Source organism: Homo sapiens, chromosome 1 (assembly GCF_000001405.40).
Source record: "Homo sapiens chromosome 1, GRCh38.p14 Primary Assembly".
Taxonomy (NCBI): Eukaryota; Metazoa; Chordata; class Mammalia; order Primates; family Hominidae; genus Homo; species Homo sapiens.
The window spans coordinates 157,252,345-157,268,234 of record NC_000001.11 but is presented as its reverse complement, the minus strand read 5'-3'; the positions used below and the strand labels follow the sequence as shown (position 1 = coordinate 157,268,234).

General features: G+C 41.0%; 1 long non-coding RNA gene across 1 annotated transcript in view; it reads left to right on the top strand.

The window, feature by feature from the left end:
* LOC105371456 (uncharacterized) overlaps nt 1-15,890 on the top strand; it is a 54,091-nt gene that overhangs the window by 11,179 nt on the left and 27,022 nt on the right. The window contains exon 2 of the long non-coding RNA XR_922183.3: nt 15,532-15,829. This is a non-coding gene — a long non-coding RNA (uncharacterized LOC105371456). The remainder of the gene's footprint in view (nt 1-15,531; nt 15,830-15,890) is intronic.

The window sequence follows — 15,890 nt, the reverse complement described above, 5'->3', positions numbered from 1 at the left end:
GAAGCATACGTTAGAGGCCCATGTTAAACGACCCTACATGGAATGATGCCTGGGCTCAGGGTTCCAGCATGTGATAAGAATTCACACCCACACCATGCACAGTACAGTGCAGCTGTCAGCCCCCTTAGCTGATTTCCCAGGCCAGAAGACAGAAACCTTCCCATCAGAGTTTCATCCCAGTTCCTCATCTGCCTTTCTGCAGCTTCTCTACAAGCACAAGCACAGCCTAGGCACAGTGGAATCAGGCGCCTCCAGGAACCACAGAGGTGGGAGGTGCTCCAGCCCCAGTGGTGGAAGCAGGAGGCTTCATTAGCCCCAGACACCTACCCTAGACATGGGCTGCCTGGTTTTCCTAAGGGTCTTTAATCTTTTCTTATACACATTGTTTTCTTGGAAGCATCGACTGTGTTCTTTATCTCCTCCTAATATATTCATTGGTCTTTCTCAGATCCTCATTCGACGCTGGCTTTGGGGCAGTTCTCCACCTAAGCTAAATGTATTACAGCTTAGGCACACACCATAGACAAAGATAAAATTGTGTAAAAGCTAGAGGTAGAAAAGACAGACCATCTGCAAAGCAATGTTGAGAAAATGATAGCCCAGCAGTAATGTATATTGTATGATATCTTCAGTGGTTTGTAGAAAATAATTGCCAGCTTTAAACTGTATACCTGAGTAAACTATCTTCAAAAATGAGGGCAAAACAAAGGCATTTCCAGTCAAATTAAAACTGAGAACATTTATCACCAACAGACAATCACTAAAGGACTACTTTGTGAAGAAGAAAAATGGTCTGGAAGAAAAGGTTGAAAACAAAAGGATTGCTGAGAATAGAAAGTGGTAAACAGAAAGGATACTTGACCACTGGTTGCATAAAAATAATAAAAGTTTATAATTGTTGCAGTGAAAAATAGAAGAGAGATATTGGGTAATGATAATATTTAGGATAAGAAGAAAATGAGAAGAGTGAAAGTGCTGTTAGTTCCTTTTCAATTTCTGGAAGTGGGTGGAGATACTGATTTAGAATTTGAATTAGGTATATGTGTTAATATATTAAGTCAAATCCTAAATGAAGAGAAATGCAGTGTATAACTTCTACAAAAGCAGAGGAGTAACTAAAGTAAAATTTTAAACTTAACTACATAAAGGAAAGTAGAAAAGACACATAGAGAAAACAGAAAAATAGAAAGATATAATAAGATGAGAGAAATAATGCCATATGCATCAGCAATCACAATACCTCAAATGGAAAAACATCTCACTAATTAGACAACTGAGATGAACAGATTAGAGAGAAAACTCAATCCAGCCATCCACAATCCAGCTATTTAAATATGGAAATCCAGAGTTTACAGAAACATTATTAGGGGGAAAGGGAATCATACAACAATTCTAAATATACCAGCAATGTGTAAAAATGCTTTCAATGACACACTTTCATAATATATAATGCAAAACTCACAGAATTGCAAGAAGAAAACGACAAATCTATTTTCACAGTAGGCAATCTTAACACAAGTCTGTTAGTAATTGAAAAAGCATACAGACAAAAATTAGGAAGAAGAGAGAAGATTTGAACAACACAATTGACTGATTTGATTTAATAGATAAATACCAAACTTAATACCCAATAATGAGATAATGCATATTATTTTCAAGTTCACGTGGAAGATTCATAAAATTTGGCAATATACTGAGGCAAAATCAACTTTCAATAAATATTGAAGAGCTAGTATTATTCTTTTCCAACTTCAATGCCAGCTGTACAGAAATCAATAGAAAATTATGATATAAGTCATCATTTTTGGAAGTTACAAAACAATTTTCTAAATAATAATAATAGTATATGTATAAATTTATGGGATATAGTTGAAATAGTATTTAGAAAATTTTTTTAAACTTAGAAAACAAAAAGGGCTACAAATTACTGAGCAACTTGTCCACTTCATAAGATTAGAAAGAAAAAAACTGGGAGAATATAAAAGAAATTGAATATAAGAATAAAAGGAAAAATGAATGCAACTGAAATAAAGATACAGCAGACCTGGTCAACAAAGCCAAATGCTGGCTTCTTAAGAAGACAAAACAATAGAAAAAAACCTATCAAGAATGACCACAGAAAAGAAAGAGAAGGCCTACAAACAATACAATTTAGAAATAAGAAACAGAACACAGCAATAAAGGCAGCAGAGATTACAAAAACAAAGCTAATACTGGAAATAACTTAGGCTACTATATTTGAAGACTTTAGTGGATCATTTTCTAGAAAAGTATAACCTATTAAAACAGTCCCAAAAAGAAATAAAAACCACAAAGTGCTATTATTAAAAAATGTACAAGTTACAAGTCTACACCAGGAAGAACAAAATCAAAGCAGACCCAGTTTTAGAAGTAAATTAATTCAATTATTCAATAGTTTTTACTTAAACATCTATGAGGATAGAGGTAACATCCATCAGATGATGTCCTTTGTATTTTTGTGGCCACACAGGAAGATTACATTTTCCCTAGACTCTCCCAAAGTCTGGTGAACTATGTGATTGAGTTTTGATCAATGAAAATTGATCAACATCCAGGCTGAGACGATTAAGAGATGTTAAATTGCTTAACATCCAGGCTGAGACGATGAAGAGATGCCTGACTTTCCTTGTCCCAGTGGCTTGAAGCAAAGGACTCCCGTGGGGTATTGCCAGGTAATGGAAGGAGCCCATGGGCCAAGTCACGGCTTGATGGTAAGCTGCCAAGGAGAGCTGCTCAATGTGGCAGAAATGATGAGTTGCCACCCCTGGGGACTTGCGGCACAACTGTGTAGTCGGACTAAGGTCCAACGCCACACAAAACCTCCACCAGCTTGGCTCCTAGAGCTACTCCTGACTTTTTGATCACATGGAACAAGAAAGAACCTCTTTGGATTCCCTTTAGAAGAACGTGGGCTTCAGAATCCTTCACTCCAGAACCATGTGACCCAGAAATGTTGGCTGTGCAGGTGCAGACACCTAGGGCATTTGAAATAGGAAAAAGGGGTGTTTTCTTAGTAAGAACAAATGAGAGAACCACAGAACTTTCCTTTTTAAATGAAATCCACCCCTTCTATCCCATTGATTCTAGAAAGGTAGCCAAGTATAGTAAAACTGTGTTCAAATTTCAAATTTAAGCCACAGCTTGCTCTTCTGCAAACTGGGGCTGGTAAGGCTTCCCTCCCTATGTTGCTGCTCTGGTGAAATACGATAAAGTCCCAAGCATCTAGTGTGCCATGTCTGGCACCTAGAAAGTGCTGGATCTATGGTTTCTCTTTCTTGGGATCAATGCCCTAAACAATCCCAGCCAGGGTGCCATCCAGGCTCCCTCACTTCCTCCAGCTGCAGAGTTGTGACCATGAACTGCATCAGGGCCTCATTTGAGCCCTAACCTGCCCCACAGCCACTACCCTAGGCCTCTGATCAGCCCCAGGGAGCTTGATGAGGTCTCCGTCCTCATTCTGTTCATCTCTCAGATCAGTGCTGGACCAGGGGAAGGCACCACAGAAGCTACCTCCTCTCTCCTTTCAAAGATGTGGTGTTTGTTTGGTTTGCCATTGCCTGTTAGTGTAACCAGTTTACTGAGTCTGTAAGTTCTTCCTTGTATCTGACCTGCCTCCCTCCTGCTTAACTTAAATTTAACAATTCCTTGTCTTCACTGGGGGCAGAGAATTACTTATGCCATGGCTTCAAGGGCAGCACCCTGTCAGATAGGTTCTTCCTACTTATTAATTAATGCACTCAACCAAGCCTCTACTAGGATCAAGGCCCTAGGGACATGTCCAGGAGTCAGATGTGATCAATACCATGGGGAGTCACATTCACATTGGTCTGTAAAGACTCAGTATGAAGCATCCTCATCACAAGGTTTAATCTCACAAAAGCTGTATATACAACAAATGATGCAAAGCAGTTCAAAGGAGAGACAGGCCACTCTCACTGGTGGAATCAGGAAAGGCTTCATTATGGAGGTGTTACGTGGGCTCCTCCATGCTGAAGCATCCAGTCCCTTCAGCTCCCCTCAAGGTGAACTGAAGGTGTTGCTTTCAGGACCTACATCACTGGGGTCAGTGCAGTGCCTGTGTCTACCTTTGGCCATGAAAGTCAGTGTTCTCCCAAACTCAAGGCCCCTCTCCATCTCTTCCTGCCCTTATCCCATTCCTTCTTCTTCTTGTCCAGTCCAGGAGGTAGTTTTTGTTTGGGAATTGTTTGGTTTGGAAAACTATATAAGTGAGAGGTTTGGGGAAGGAAGAACCTGGAGAGAGAGAATTAGCTGTGTGGCTGGAGACCAGTGTCACTGGAGAGTCAGCCAATAGACATTCAATACTGCCAAAATGACAGGGCTTTTAATCTAATCTCAGTGTTCATTTATCCTGTCCAAAGACATACACATGCACACACACCACCTGCAGAGCCTTTAGTAAGACTTTATATATTCAGCAGCCTGGTGCCAGTAATATTTTAGGGATATAAAGGAAGGCAGACCTTGATCTGATCTGAAGCAGCAGAGTGTGTGTATGTGTGTGCGTGTGTGTGTGTCTGCATGTGTGCATGTGTGTGTGTGCATGTGTGTGTATGTAACATATAAGAGAGCAATGTAAAGTTCAGTGTGATGGAGAGTCAAGAACAGAGATTGAGAGGTGACCATGGGAATATAAGCTCCTAGGAATTCGCAAATGTATAGATAAGGCTCTGGACCTCTATAAGACATGGGATGGGTGGTCACATATATTTTATTTGAATCCCAAATAACAGGACACTCAAGCTGGGAGTTGGGTTACAAGAGGAATATATTTATTGGATATTTACTATATCAGTGGGTTTATATGTATTATTTTAATGGATCTACATTATATATTAAATTGAATTCTCAAAATAACCCTGTTGACTAACCATTACATTAACCTTCTAGATAATATATGCTATGGTTTGAATGTGTCCCTCAAAGTTCATGTGTTAGAAACTTTATTCCCACTGTAACAGTGTTGAGAGGTGGGGTCTAATGGGAGGTGTTAGGGCATGAGTGCTCCACCATGAATAAATTAGTTGCTAATTATAAAAGAACTTGAGGTTGAGAGTTCAATCTCTTGCTCTCTCTTGCATGTGCTCAATTGTCCTTCTGCCTTCTGACATTGATGATGCAACAAGAAGCTTCTCACCAGATGGAGCCCCTTGATCTTGAACTTCCCAGCCTCCACAACTGTGAGCCAAATACATTCCTATTCCTTATAAATTACCCAGTCTCAGGTAACCTGTTGTTGCAGCACCAAACAGACTAAGACAATATAGGATCCTGGATGTCCAGAGAGATCCCAATTGTCCAAGTTCATGCCTAGGGTAAGTGGCAAAGGCTTTATAACATCAGCCCAGCCACAGACAGATGCCAGGAGGGAAAGAAGACTATAGATTCTGAGAAACTCAAGACATGATCGTGAGACTCTGGGTTGAGACAGAATGGCTGTTTTTTGATGTGAGAGGGAACTGCAGCCCTAGGCAGAAGTCTAGGTGTCTAGGTAGAGGAAAGGTTGGAGTAGAAGCTCTGAGTTATGGCCTTTTCCTGACCTCCTTATCTGGATTAAAGAGAAGAGTCATCAGTCTAGCCTGTGGGGTTTGCAGCACGGTAGTCCCACAGCTGGGTTGGGGGAGAGAAGCAGACAGCAGTAGATGTAGACTGACAGTTGACCTTTGATATCCTTCCTTTCTTTCTTCCCTCCTCCTCTGTAACCCAACTATGTGTTGGTAGAATTTTTTGAATTAAAAAATAATTAAAATATTAGAAAACAATAACAGGATGGTGTATCCTTTCAATGGATCCTTAGAGAATAGTACAAAATTACAGAACAACAGTAGCAATAAATAGAAAAAAACAAAATTCAACATATGTTAAAATATGAAGTGTAAAAAGATAGTTTAAGGAAATTTGAGGAAATTTGAAAATTCTCTTTTTCTTAAAAACAGCAAGAGAGCAAGAGTACCTACTGATTTTATAGAGAACATTTTCAAAGCTCTGACAATTAACCAATGACTTGCAGGAACCTGAGAACTGGACATTATGTAGTGTTCTAACTTTCCCTAGTCACAGCATCACTCTGCAACTCCACTGTAGCCTTCAGAAGTAACAGCTTGCTTTCATGATGAAGCCAGAAGTCTAGCATGCACCTGAGGGAGCAGAATGGAGCTGGAGCTCTCTCTAAGTCTCATTCCCAATGAATTGTTATTATTTCACCTGTCTTGTGGTACCTTGGAAGACCCCACTTCCAAGTATATGTGTGTTTCACCTGACTGAGAGCCCTCTTACTTCTAATAGCCCTTTACCTGTGGGGCACTTGAGGAAAGCAATTACAGGCAATTGTTAAACTTTTTGGCTTCCTGAAGCTGAGAATAACTGTTGATGCAAACAATAGACTCACCACATATCTTAACAGGAAAAGCTAAGGAATGAGATGTCCATAGACGGTCATATGCAATTGTGGGATTGTATGCATTTTTAGGTCTGTACGCCTGCCTAGGAAAAATCTGAGAAGACCCTAACCTCTCATCATCTCTGACCTTGAAGCTCTGCACAAGCAGGAAGTGACAGTAAGACAAAGTAGTCAACTTCCTGGCTGAGTGATAAAGTTATGCCCTGTACACCAAGCCCCTCAGCAATCCCTGGGAGACTTGGTGGTTCCAGATGTGTGTTTTAAAGGATTTTTACCTTTCCCAAAGAGAGGTCTGACTTCTTCTCTTGGCTTCTGGGAAGCAATCTTTTACTCCTTGGATCATCACACCTGATAGGAGCATCTGTTTGCCAGGAGCTTTGGGTCACTGGTAGCATGAATTAAGTATGGTTGATCATATCAGAAAGACCAAAAAACATGATTTAAAGTAAGAGTTTGAATTATGCAATATCAGTTGATCTCTGGAGTAGCTGGAAACTGATACCTGTCACCTGGAAAATCAATTATCATGCCTACCTGATGGAACTCCAACAAAAAGTCTCAGCATTGAGGCCTGAGTGAGCTTCCTTGGTTGGAAATACTCTAAGAGTATCATCATACATCAATGTTTGGAAAGGAAAAGTGTCCTGACTCCATGAGAAGAGAACAACTGGAAACTCTGCATTTGGTACTTTTTGTGGACTCTGACTTATGAATTTCTTGCTATGTCGGATTTTAATCTGTATTTTTCCCAATAATCAACCATAACCTTGAGTCCAGTAGCTTCAGTAAGTACTTAGCAACGCTTTAGCAAATTATTGAACCTCAGGGTGATTTGGGAACTCTCTGAACTTGCAGTTGAAGTAAGAGAAGTCTTGGATAGACCCCAACATAAAACCTAACTACACAAAGTTTGTAGCAGGTCCAACTCTCATCGTTTGCATCAGAAGTGGATTGACTAGAATGACCCTGACAGAAAAATGTGTAGTCTGGGAGGAGGAAGAATGAGAGGGTAAGGGATAATGAACCTTTGGTTCCTGCATGGAAACAGGGTTATCTATGGTATGGAGCTGCACCTATGTTATGATTATTTACTAGATGTAAAAGTTGGTAGTAGAATTTAGAAATGATGGATTCAGCTCATGAATTGGAGGCTCACTGGATGCATAAGGAAATGAAAAGTACCAAGAAAAAGGCTAAAAATATAATCTCTTGGTTATTTTCATCTGTAAGAGCTCAACTGAAAGTAAAGGAGAATGTTAGAGTGGATTCTGATATTGAGTGAAGCTGAGATTCTAAGAGGGCCAAGCTATAGTCTGTAGCCTCAGGGCCACTCCTGGTAGGAAAAGTCACAGTAAAAGTAAAGTAAAGCACCTGGAGTAGATCCTAGTGCTGAGCCAGGCTTAAAAGTCTGAGCTACAGCTGCTAGCCTCGGGACCACTACCAAGTAGAAGAGTTATGCCTGAACAACAGACAATGAAGAGACTTAGAGTGATTTCAGTGAGAATGGGGAAAAGAAATGAGAGAGTTGAGCGACATGGAGGGACTCTATCTAGGAGGCTAAAAATTTTAAGTGTTTATTAAGAAGTGGGAAAAAGAAAGAGAACTTTAATAGAGCTAAAATAAGGGTCTTAATGCAGCACGTTTGGACATTGGGTGGAGCAATGTGAGTCACTGCTAGCTCTCCAATATTGAAGGGCCCTAAACTAATCTGTTTATTCACCCAACTGTGCTGAAATTTTTTTTTATACTTTAAGTTTTAGGGTACATGTGTACAACGTGCGGGTTTGTTACATATGTATACATGTGTCATGTTGGTGTGCTGCACCCATTAACTCGTCATTTAGCATTAGGTATATCTCCTAATGCTATCCCTCCCTCCTCCCCACACCCCACAACAGTCCCTGGTGTGTGATGTTCCCCTTCCTGTGTCCATGTGTTCTCATTGTTCAATTCCCACCTATGAGTGAGAACATGCGGTGTTTGGTTTTTTGTCCTTGCAATAGTTTGCTGAGAATGATGGTTTCCAGCTTCATCCATGTCCCTACAAAGGACATGAACTCATCATTTTTTATGGCTGTATAGTATTCCATGGTGTATATGTGCCACATTTTCTTAATCCAGTCTATCATTGTTGGACATTTGGGTTGGTTCCAAGTCTTTGCTATTGTGAATAGCGCCACAATAAACATATGTGTGCATGTGTCTTTATAGCAGCATGATTTATAATCCTTTCGGTATATACCCAGTAATGGGATGGCTAGGTCAAATGGTAGTTCTAGTTCAAGATCCCTGAGGAATCGCCACACCAAGATCCACAATGGTTGAACTAGTTTACAGTCCCATCAACAGTGTAAAAGTGTTCCTATTTCTCCACATCCTCTCCAGCACCTGTTGTTTCCTGACTTTTTGATGATCGCCATTCTAACTGGTGTGAGATGGTATCTCATTGTGGTTTTGATTTGCATTTCTCTGATGGCCAGTGATGATGAGCATTTTTTCATGTGTTTTTTGGCTGCATAAATGTCTTCTTTTGAAAAGGGTCTGTTCATATCCTTCGCCCACTTTTTAATGGGGTTGTTTGTTTTTTTCTTGTAAATTTGTTTGAGTTCATTGTAGATTCTGGATATTAGCCCTTTGTCAGATGAGTAGGTTGCAAAAATTTTCTCCCATTCTGTAGGTTGCCTGTTCACTCTGATGGTAGTTTCTTTTGCTGTGCAGAAGCTCTTTAGTTTAATTAGATCCCATTTGTCAATTTTGGCTTTTGTTGCCATTGCTTTTGGTGTTTTAGACATGAAGTCCTTGCCCATGCCTATGTCCTGAATGGTATTGCCTAGGTTTTCTTCTAGAGTTTTTATGGTTTTAGGTCTAACATGTAAGTCTTTAATCCATCTTGAATTAATTTTTGTGTAAGGTTTAAGGAAGGGATCCAGTTTCAGCTTTCAACATATGGCTAGCCAGTTTTCCCAGCACCATTTATTAAATAGGGAATCCTTTCCCCATTTCTTGTTTTTGTCAGGTTTGTCAAAGATCAGATAGTTGTAGATATGCGGCATTATTTCTGAGGGCTCTGTTCTGTTCCATTGGTCTATATCTCTGTTTTGGTACCAGTACCATGCTGTTTTGGTTACTGTAGCCTTGTAGTATAGTTTGAAGTCAGGTAGTGTGATGCCTCCAGCTTTGTTCCTTTGGCTTAGGATTGACTTGGCAATACAGGCTCTTTTTTGGTTCCATATGAACTTTGAAGTAGTTTTTTCCAATTCTGTAAAGAAAGTCATTGGTAGCTTGATGGGGATGGCATTGAATCTATAAATTACCTTGGGTAGTATGGCCATTTTCACAATATTGATTCTTCCTACCCATGAGCATGGAATGCTCTTCCATTTGTTTGTGTCCTCTTTTATTTCCTTGAGCAGTGGTTTGTAGTTCTCCTTGAAGAGGTCCTTCACATCCCTTGTAAGTTGGATTCCTAGGTATTTTATTCTCTTTGAAGCAATTGTGAATGGGAGTTCACTCATGATTTGGCTCTCTGTTTGTCTGTTATTGATGTATAAGAATGCTGTGATTTTTGTACACTGATTTTGTATCCTGAGACTTTGCTGAAGTTGCTTATCAGCTTAAAGAGATTTTTGGGCTGAGAAGATGGAGTTTTCTCGATATACAATCATGTCATCTGCAAACAGGGACAATTTGACTTCCTCTTTTCCTAATTGAATGTCCTTTTTTTCCTTCTCCTGCTTGATTGCCCTGGCCAGAACTTCCAACACTATGTTGAATAGGAGTGGTGAGAGAAGGCATTCCTGTCTTGTGCCCGTTTTCAAAGGGAATGCTTCCAGTTTTTGTCCATTCAGTATGATATTGGCTGTGGGTTTGTTATAGATAGCTCTTATTATTTTGAGATACGTCCCATTAATACCTAATTTATTGAGAGTTTTTAGCATGAAGGGTTGTTGAATTTTGTCAAAGGCCTTTTCTGCATCTATTGAGATAATCATGTGGTTTTTGTCTTTGGTTCTGTTTATATGTTGGATTACGTTTATTGATTTTCATATGTTGAACCAGCCTTGCATCCCAGGGATGAAGCCCACTTGATCATGGTGGATAAGCTTTTTGATGTGTTGCTGGATTTGGTTTGCCAGTATTTTATTGAGGATTTTTGCATCAATGTTCATCAAGGATATTGGTCTAAAATTCTCTTTTTTTGTTGTGTCTCTGCCAGGCTTTGGTATCAGGATGATGCTGACCTCAAAATGAGTTAGGGAGGATTCCTTCTTTTTCTATTGATTGGAATAGTTTCAGAAGGAATGGTACCAGCTCCTCCTTGTACCTCTGGTAGAATGCTGCTGTGAATCCACCTGGTCCTGGACTTTTTGTGGTTGGTAAACTATTAATTATTGCTCAATTTCAGAGCCTGTTATTGGTCTATTCAGAGATTCAACTTCTTCCTGGTTTAGTCTTGGGAGAGGGTATGTGTTGAGGAATTTATCCATTTCTTCTAGATTTTCTAGTTTATTTGGGTAGAGGTGTTTATAGTATTCTCTGATGGTAGTTTGTATTTCTGTGGGATCAATGGTGATATCCCCTTTGTCATTTTTTATTGTGTCTATTTGATTCTTCTCTCTTTTCTTCTTTGTTAGTCTTGCTAGTGGTCTATCAATTTTGTTGATCTTTTCAAAAAACCAGCTCCTGAATTCATTGATTTTTTGAAGGGTTTTTTGTGTCTCTATTTCCTTCAGTTCTGCTCTGATCTTAGTTATTTCTTGCCTTCTGCTAGCTTTTGAATGTGTTTGCTCTTGCTTTTCTAGTTCTGTTAATTGTGATGTTAGGGTGCTGATTTTAGATCTTTCCTGCTTTCTCCTGTGGGCATTTAGTGCTATAAATTTCCCTCTACACACTGCTTTGAATGCGTCCCAGAGATTCTGGTATGTTGTGTCTTTGTTCTCATTGGTTTCAAAGAACATCTTTATTTCTGCCTTCATTTCATTATTTACCCAGTAGTCATTCAGGAGCAGGTTGTTCAGTTTCCATGTAGTTGAGCCGTTTTGAGTGAGTTTCTTAATCCTGAGTTCTAGTTTGATTGCACTGTGGTCTGAGAGACAGTTTGTTATAATTTCTGTTCTTTTACATTTGCTGAGGAGTGCTTTACTTCCAAGTATGTGGTCAATTTTGGAATAGGTGTGGTGTGGTGCTGAAAAGAATGTATATTCTGTTGATTTGGGGTGGAGAGTTCTGTAGATGTCTATTAGGTCTGCTTGGTGCAGAGCTGAGTTCAGTTCCTGGATATCCTTGTTAACTTTCTGTCTCATTGATCTGTCTAATGTTGACAGTGGGGTGTTAAAGTCTCCCATTATTATTGTGTGGGAGTCTAAGTCACTTTGTAGGTCACTAAGGACTTGCTTTATGAATCTGGGTGCTCCTGTATTGGGTGCATATATATTTAGGATAGTTATTTCTTCTTGTTGAATTGATCCCTTTACCATTATGTAATGGCCTTCTTTGTCTCTTTTGATCTTTGTTCATTTAGAGTCTGTTTTATCCGAGACTGCCTTTTTTTGTTTTCCATTTGCTTGGGAGATCTTCCTCCATCCCTTTATTTTGAGCCTATGTGTGTCTCTGCACATGAGATGGGTTTCCTGAATACAGCACACTGATGGGTCTTGACTCTTTATCCAATTTGCCAGTCTGTGCCTTTTAATTGGAGCATTTAGCCCATTTACATTTAAGGTTAGTATTGTTACGTGTGAATTTGATCCTGTCATTATGATGTTAGCTGGTTATTTTGCTCGTTAGTTGATGCAGTTTCTTCCTAGCCTTGATGGTCTTTACAATTTGGCTTGTTTTTGCAGTGGCTGGTACTGGTTGTTCCATGTTTAGTGCTTCCTTCAGGAGCTCTTTTAGGGCAGGCCTGGTGGTGACAAAATCTCTCAGCATTTGCTTGTCTGTGAAGTATTTTATTTCTCCTTCACTTATGAAGCTTAGTTTGGCTGGATACGAAATTCTGGGTTGAAAATTCTTTTCTTTAAGAATGTTGAATATTGGCCCCCACTCTCTTCTGGCTTGTAGAGTTTCTGCCAAGAGATCAGCAGTTAGTCTGATGGGCTTCCCTTTGTAGGTAACCCGACCTTTCTCTCTGGCTGCCCTTAACATTTTTCCTTCATTTCAACTTTGGTAAATCTGACAATCATGTGTCTTGGAGTTGCTCTTCTCGAGGAGTATCTTTGTGGTGTTCTCTGTGTTTCCCGAATTTGAATGTTGGCCTGCCTTGCTAGATTGGGGAAATTCTCCTGGATAATATCCTGCAGTGTTTTCCAACTTGTTTCCATTCTCCCTGTCACTTTCAGGTACACCAATTAGACATAGATTTTGTCTTTTCACATAGTCCCATATTTCTTGGAGGCTTTGTTCATTTCTTTTTATTCTTTTTTCTCTAAACTTCTCTTCATGTTTCATTTCATTCATTTCATCTTCCATCACTGATAACCTTTCTTCCAGTTGATTGCATTGGTTACTGAGGCTTGTGCATTCGTCATGTAGTTCTCGTGCCGTGGTTTTCAGCTCCATCAGGTCCTTTAAGGACTTCTCTGCATTGGTTATTCTAGTTATCCATTCATCTAATTTTTTTTCAAAGTTTTTAACTTCTTTGCCATTGGTTCGAACTTCCTTCTTTAGCTTGGAGTTGTTTGATCTTCTGAAGCCTTCCTCTGTCAACTTGTCAAAGTCATTCTCCATCCAGCTTTGTTCCATTGCTGGTGAGGAGCTGCATTCCTTTGGAGGAGGAGAGGCACTCTGATTTTTAGAGTTTCCAGTTTTTCTGCTCTGTTTTTTCCCCATCTTTGTGGTTTTATCTACCTTTTGTCTTTGATGATGGTGACATACAGATAGGTTTTTGGTGTGGATGTCGTTTCTGTTTGTTAGTTTTCCTTCTAACAGTCAGGACCCTCAGCTGCAGGTCTGTTGGAGTTTACTGTAGGTCCACTCTAGACCCTGTTTGCCTGGGTATCAGCAGTGGTGGCTGCAGAACAGCGCATATTGGTGAACCACAAATGCTGCTGTCTGATCGTTCCTCTGGAAGTTTTGTCTCAGAGGAGTACCCGGCTGTGTGAGGTGTCAGTCCGCCCCTACTGGGGGGTGCCTCCCAGTTAGGCTACTCGGGGGTCAGGGACCCACTTGAGGAGGCAGTCTGCCCATTCTCAGATCTCCAGCTACATGCTGGGAGAACCACTGCTCTCTTCAAAGCTGTCAGACAAGGACATTTAAGTCTGCAGAGGTTATTGCTTTTTTTTGTCTGTGCCCTGCCCCCAGAGGTGGAGCCTACAGAGGCAGGCAGGCCTCCTTGAGCTGTGGTGGGCTCCACCCAGTTTGAGCTTCCCAGCTGCTTTGTCTACCTACTCAAGCCTGAGCAATGGCGGGTGCCCCTCCCCCAGCCTCGCTGCAGTTTGATCTCAGACTGCTGTGCTAGCAATGAGCTAGCACAAACCACCTTGCAGTTTGATCTCAGACTGCTGTGCTAGCAAAGAGCAAGGCTCCGTGGGCATAGGACCCTCTGAGCCAGGTGCAGGATATAATCTCCTGGTGTGCCATTTGATAAGCCCATTGGAAAAGCACAGTATTAGGATGGGAGTGACCCGATTTTCCAGGTGCCATCTGTCACCCCTTTCTTTGACTAGGAAAGGGAATTCCCTGACCCCTTGTGCTTCCCGGGTGAGGTGATGCTTCACCCTACTTCAGCTCATGCACAGTGTGCTGCCCCCACTGTCCTGCACCCACTGTCCAGCACTCCCCAGTGAGATGAACCCAGTACCTCAGTTGGAAATGCAGAAATCACCCATCTTCTGCGCCACTCATGCTTGGAGCTGTAGACTGGAGCTGTTCCTATTCGGCCATCTTGGCTATCTGTACTGTGCTGAAATTTTAAAAGCCAGAGGGCAAAGATGACAATAAGAAACCAGTCCTCCAAATGCTGAGGGTGATTGATGTTTTCTCAGTTTTCTCACAATAAGGCCCGGGTATATGTGCTCAACACAGAGTGAGGACTCAAGATTATAGACACATGACTGTGTAAAATGCCTAGTGGGTGGAGAAGAAAATGTCTGAAACTCCATAACCTGGATGAAAATCAGAATGTTTAAACAGACTTCATGTGAAGTTGTTGCAACTCTTGGAAGAGGCAACAGGAAAGCCTTTCCTTGACTATTCCTATTTTGGTCAACAAGTAGTTCATGCTCTAGGATTGACAATGTTTAGGTTTACCCTTTCTGTCATGTAGCATTTTTATAAGTTTCTTGGCTATTCCTCCTTCCCTATGTTGAGGATCTGTCACCTACCTTCTCACATGTAATGCACTCTCAGAGTGGCCATTTGTTCTTTCTCTTTTGTCCCTGGTTCTTTGATACAGCTTGGAGATGCACTGCACAGGTGCCTGACTCACACCTGAGAAACAAAGAGGGAGATGTTGCTGAAACAGCCAATGGCCACAGAGTCAGGACTGCCAGTGGGGAAACTGCATCCCCATTGAGGAGTCAAATGCACATGCATCAAACTCTCTGAATGGTCTCATTGACGCCCCTCTCACCAGGCTTGAGGTGAGGGGAGGCAACCATGGGTGGAATGGGATTCATGGCATAGCTTTCTGCAAATTAATTCTCTTCCTCTTATCTTCACATCTTAACCTTTTCTGCTGTCAATATGAATGAGAGCTTAAGAGTCTTACAATAGTTTCCAGAACCTGCTTTTCAGATTTTGCATGTGGAAGCTATTTCGCAAAAGGCTTCATTGTACCCTCTAAGTGCTTCAGGGTTTATAAAGGGTCTGAATATAAGTGTGGAGAACAAACAGATATGAATTCAACTGTGTGGTGTGGGCAAGGTGTACAGATGATGGAAAGAGCTGAGAGGCTCAGCTATGTTTCCTTCCCTAAATCTGGAATTTTTTCAGTATATGACTTCGAGCAAACTATTTCACTTCTCCAGGTCTCAGTTTCTTTGGCTGCAAAATGCCCTGTCTGCCTAGCAGGGAGCTCTAAAACTATTGAGATAATACATGAAGAATGTGCTCCTCAAATGCAATAATAATTCTTTTGTTCCCTTCTTTCCCAGGTCCTGGCTGAGTCATCATCCATCACAGCAGGCTGGTACAACATCACAGTGGAGGACAATTCTCTAGGGACCACAGAGGATATGAATGTGACCTGGGTTAGCAAAGGCCTCCCCAAGAAGCTGGAGCAGAGTGGGGCACCAGGATCAGCCCCCAATCCCTGGACCTTGGCTGTGAGCCTGCCTGAGCCTGAGCCAGTGCAATGCCGGTCTTCTGTATGTGGTCAGAAACTTCAGACACCAGAAAACTGTCACCTTAGATGTTGGAAGAGTCTGTTGAGCTTAACAAATTGCCAGCAAGGTGAGTGTGCCCAACTCTGGAGACACTTCTTTCCCAGGAGATTGGGAATGCAGTGTTTTGG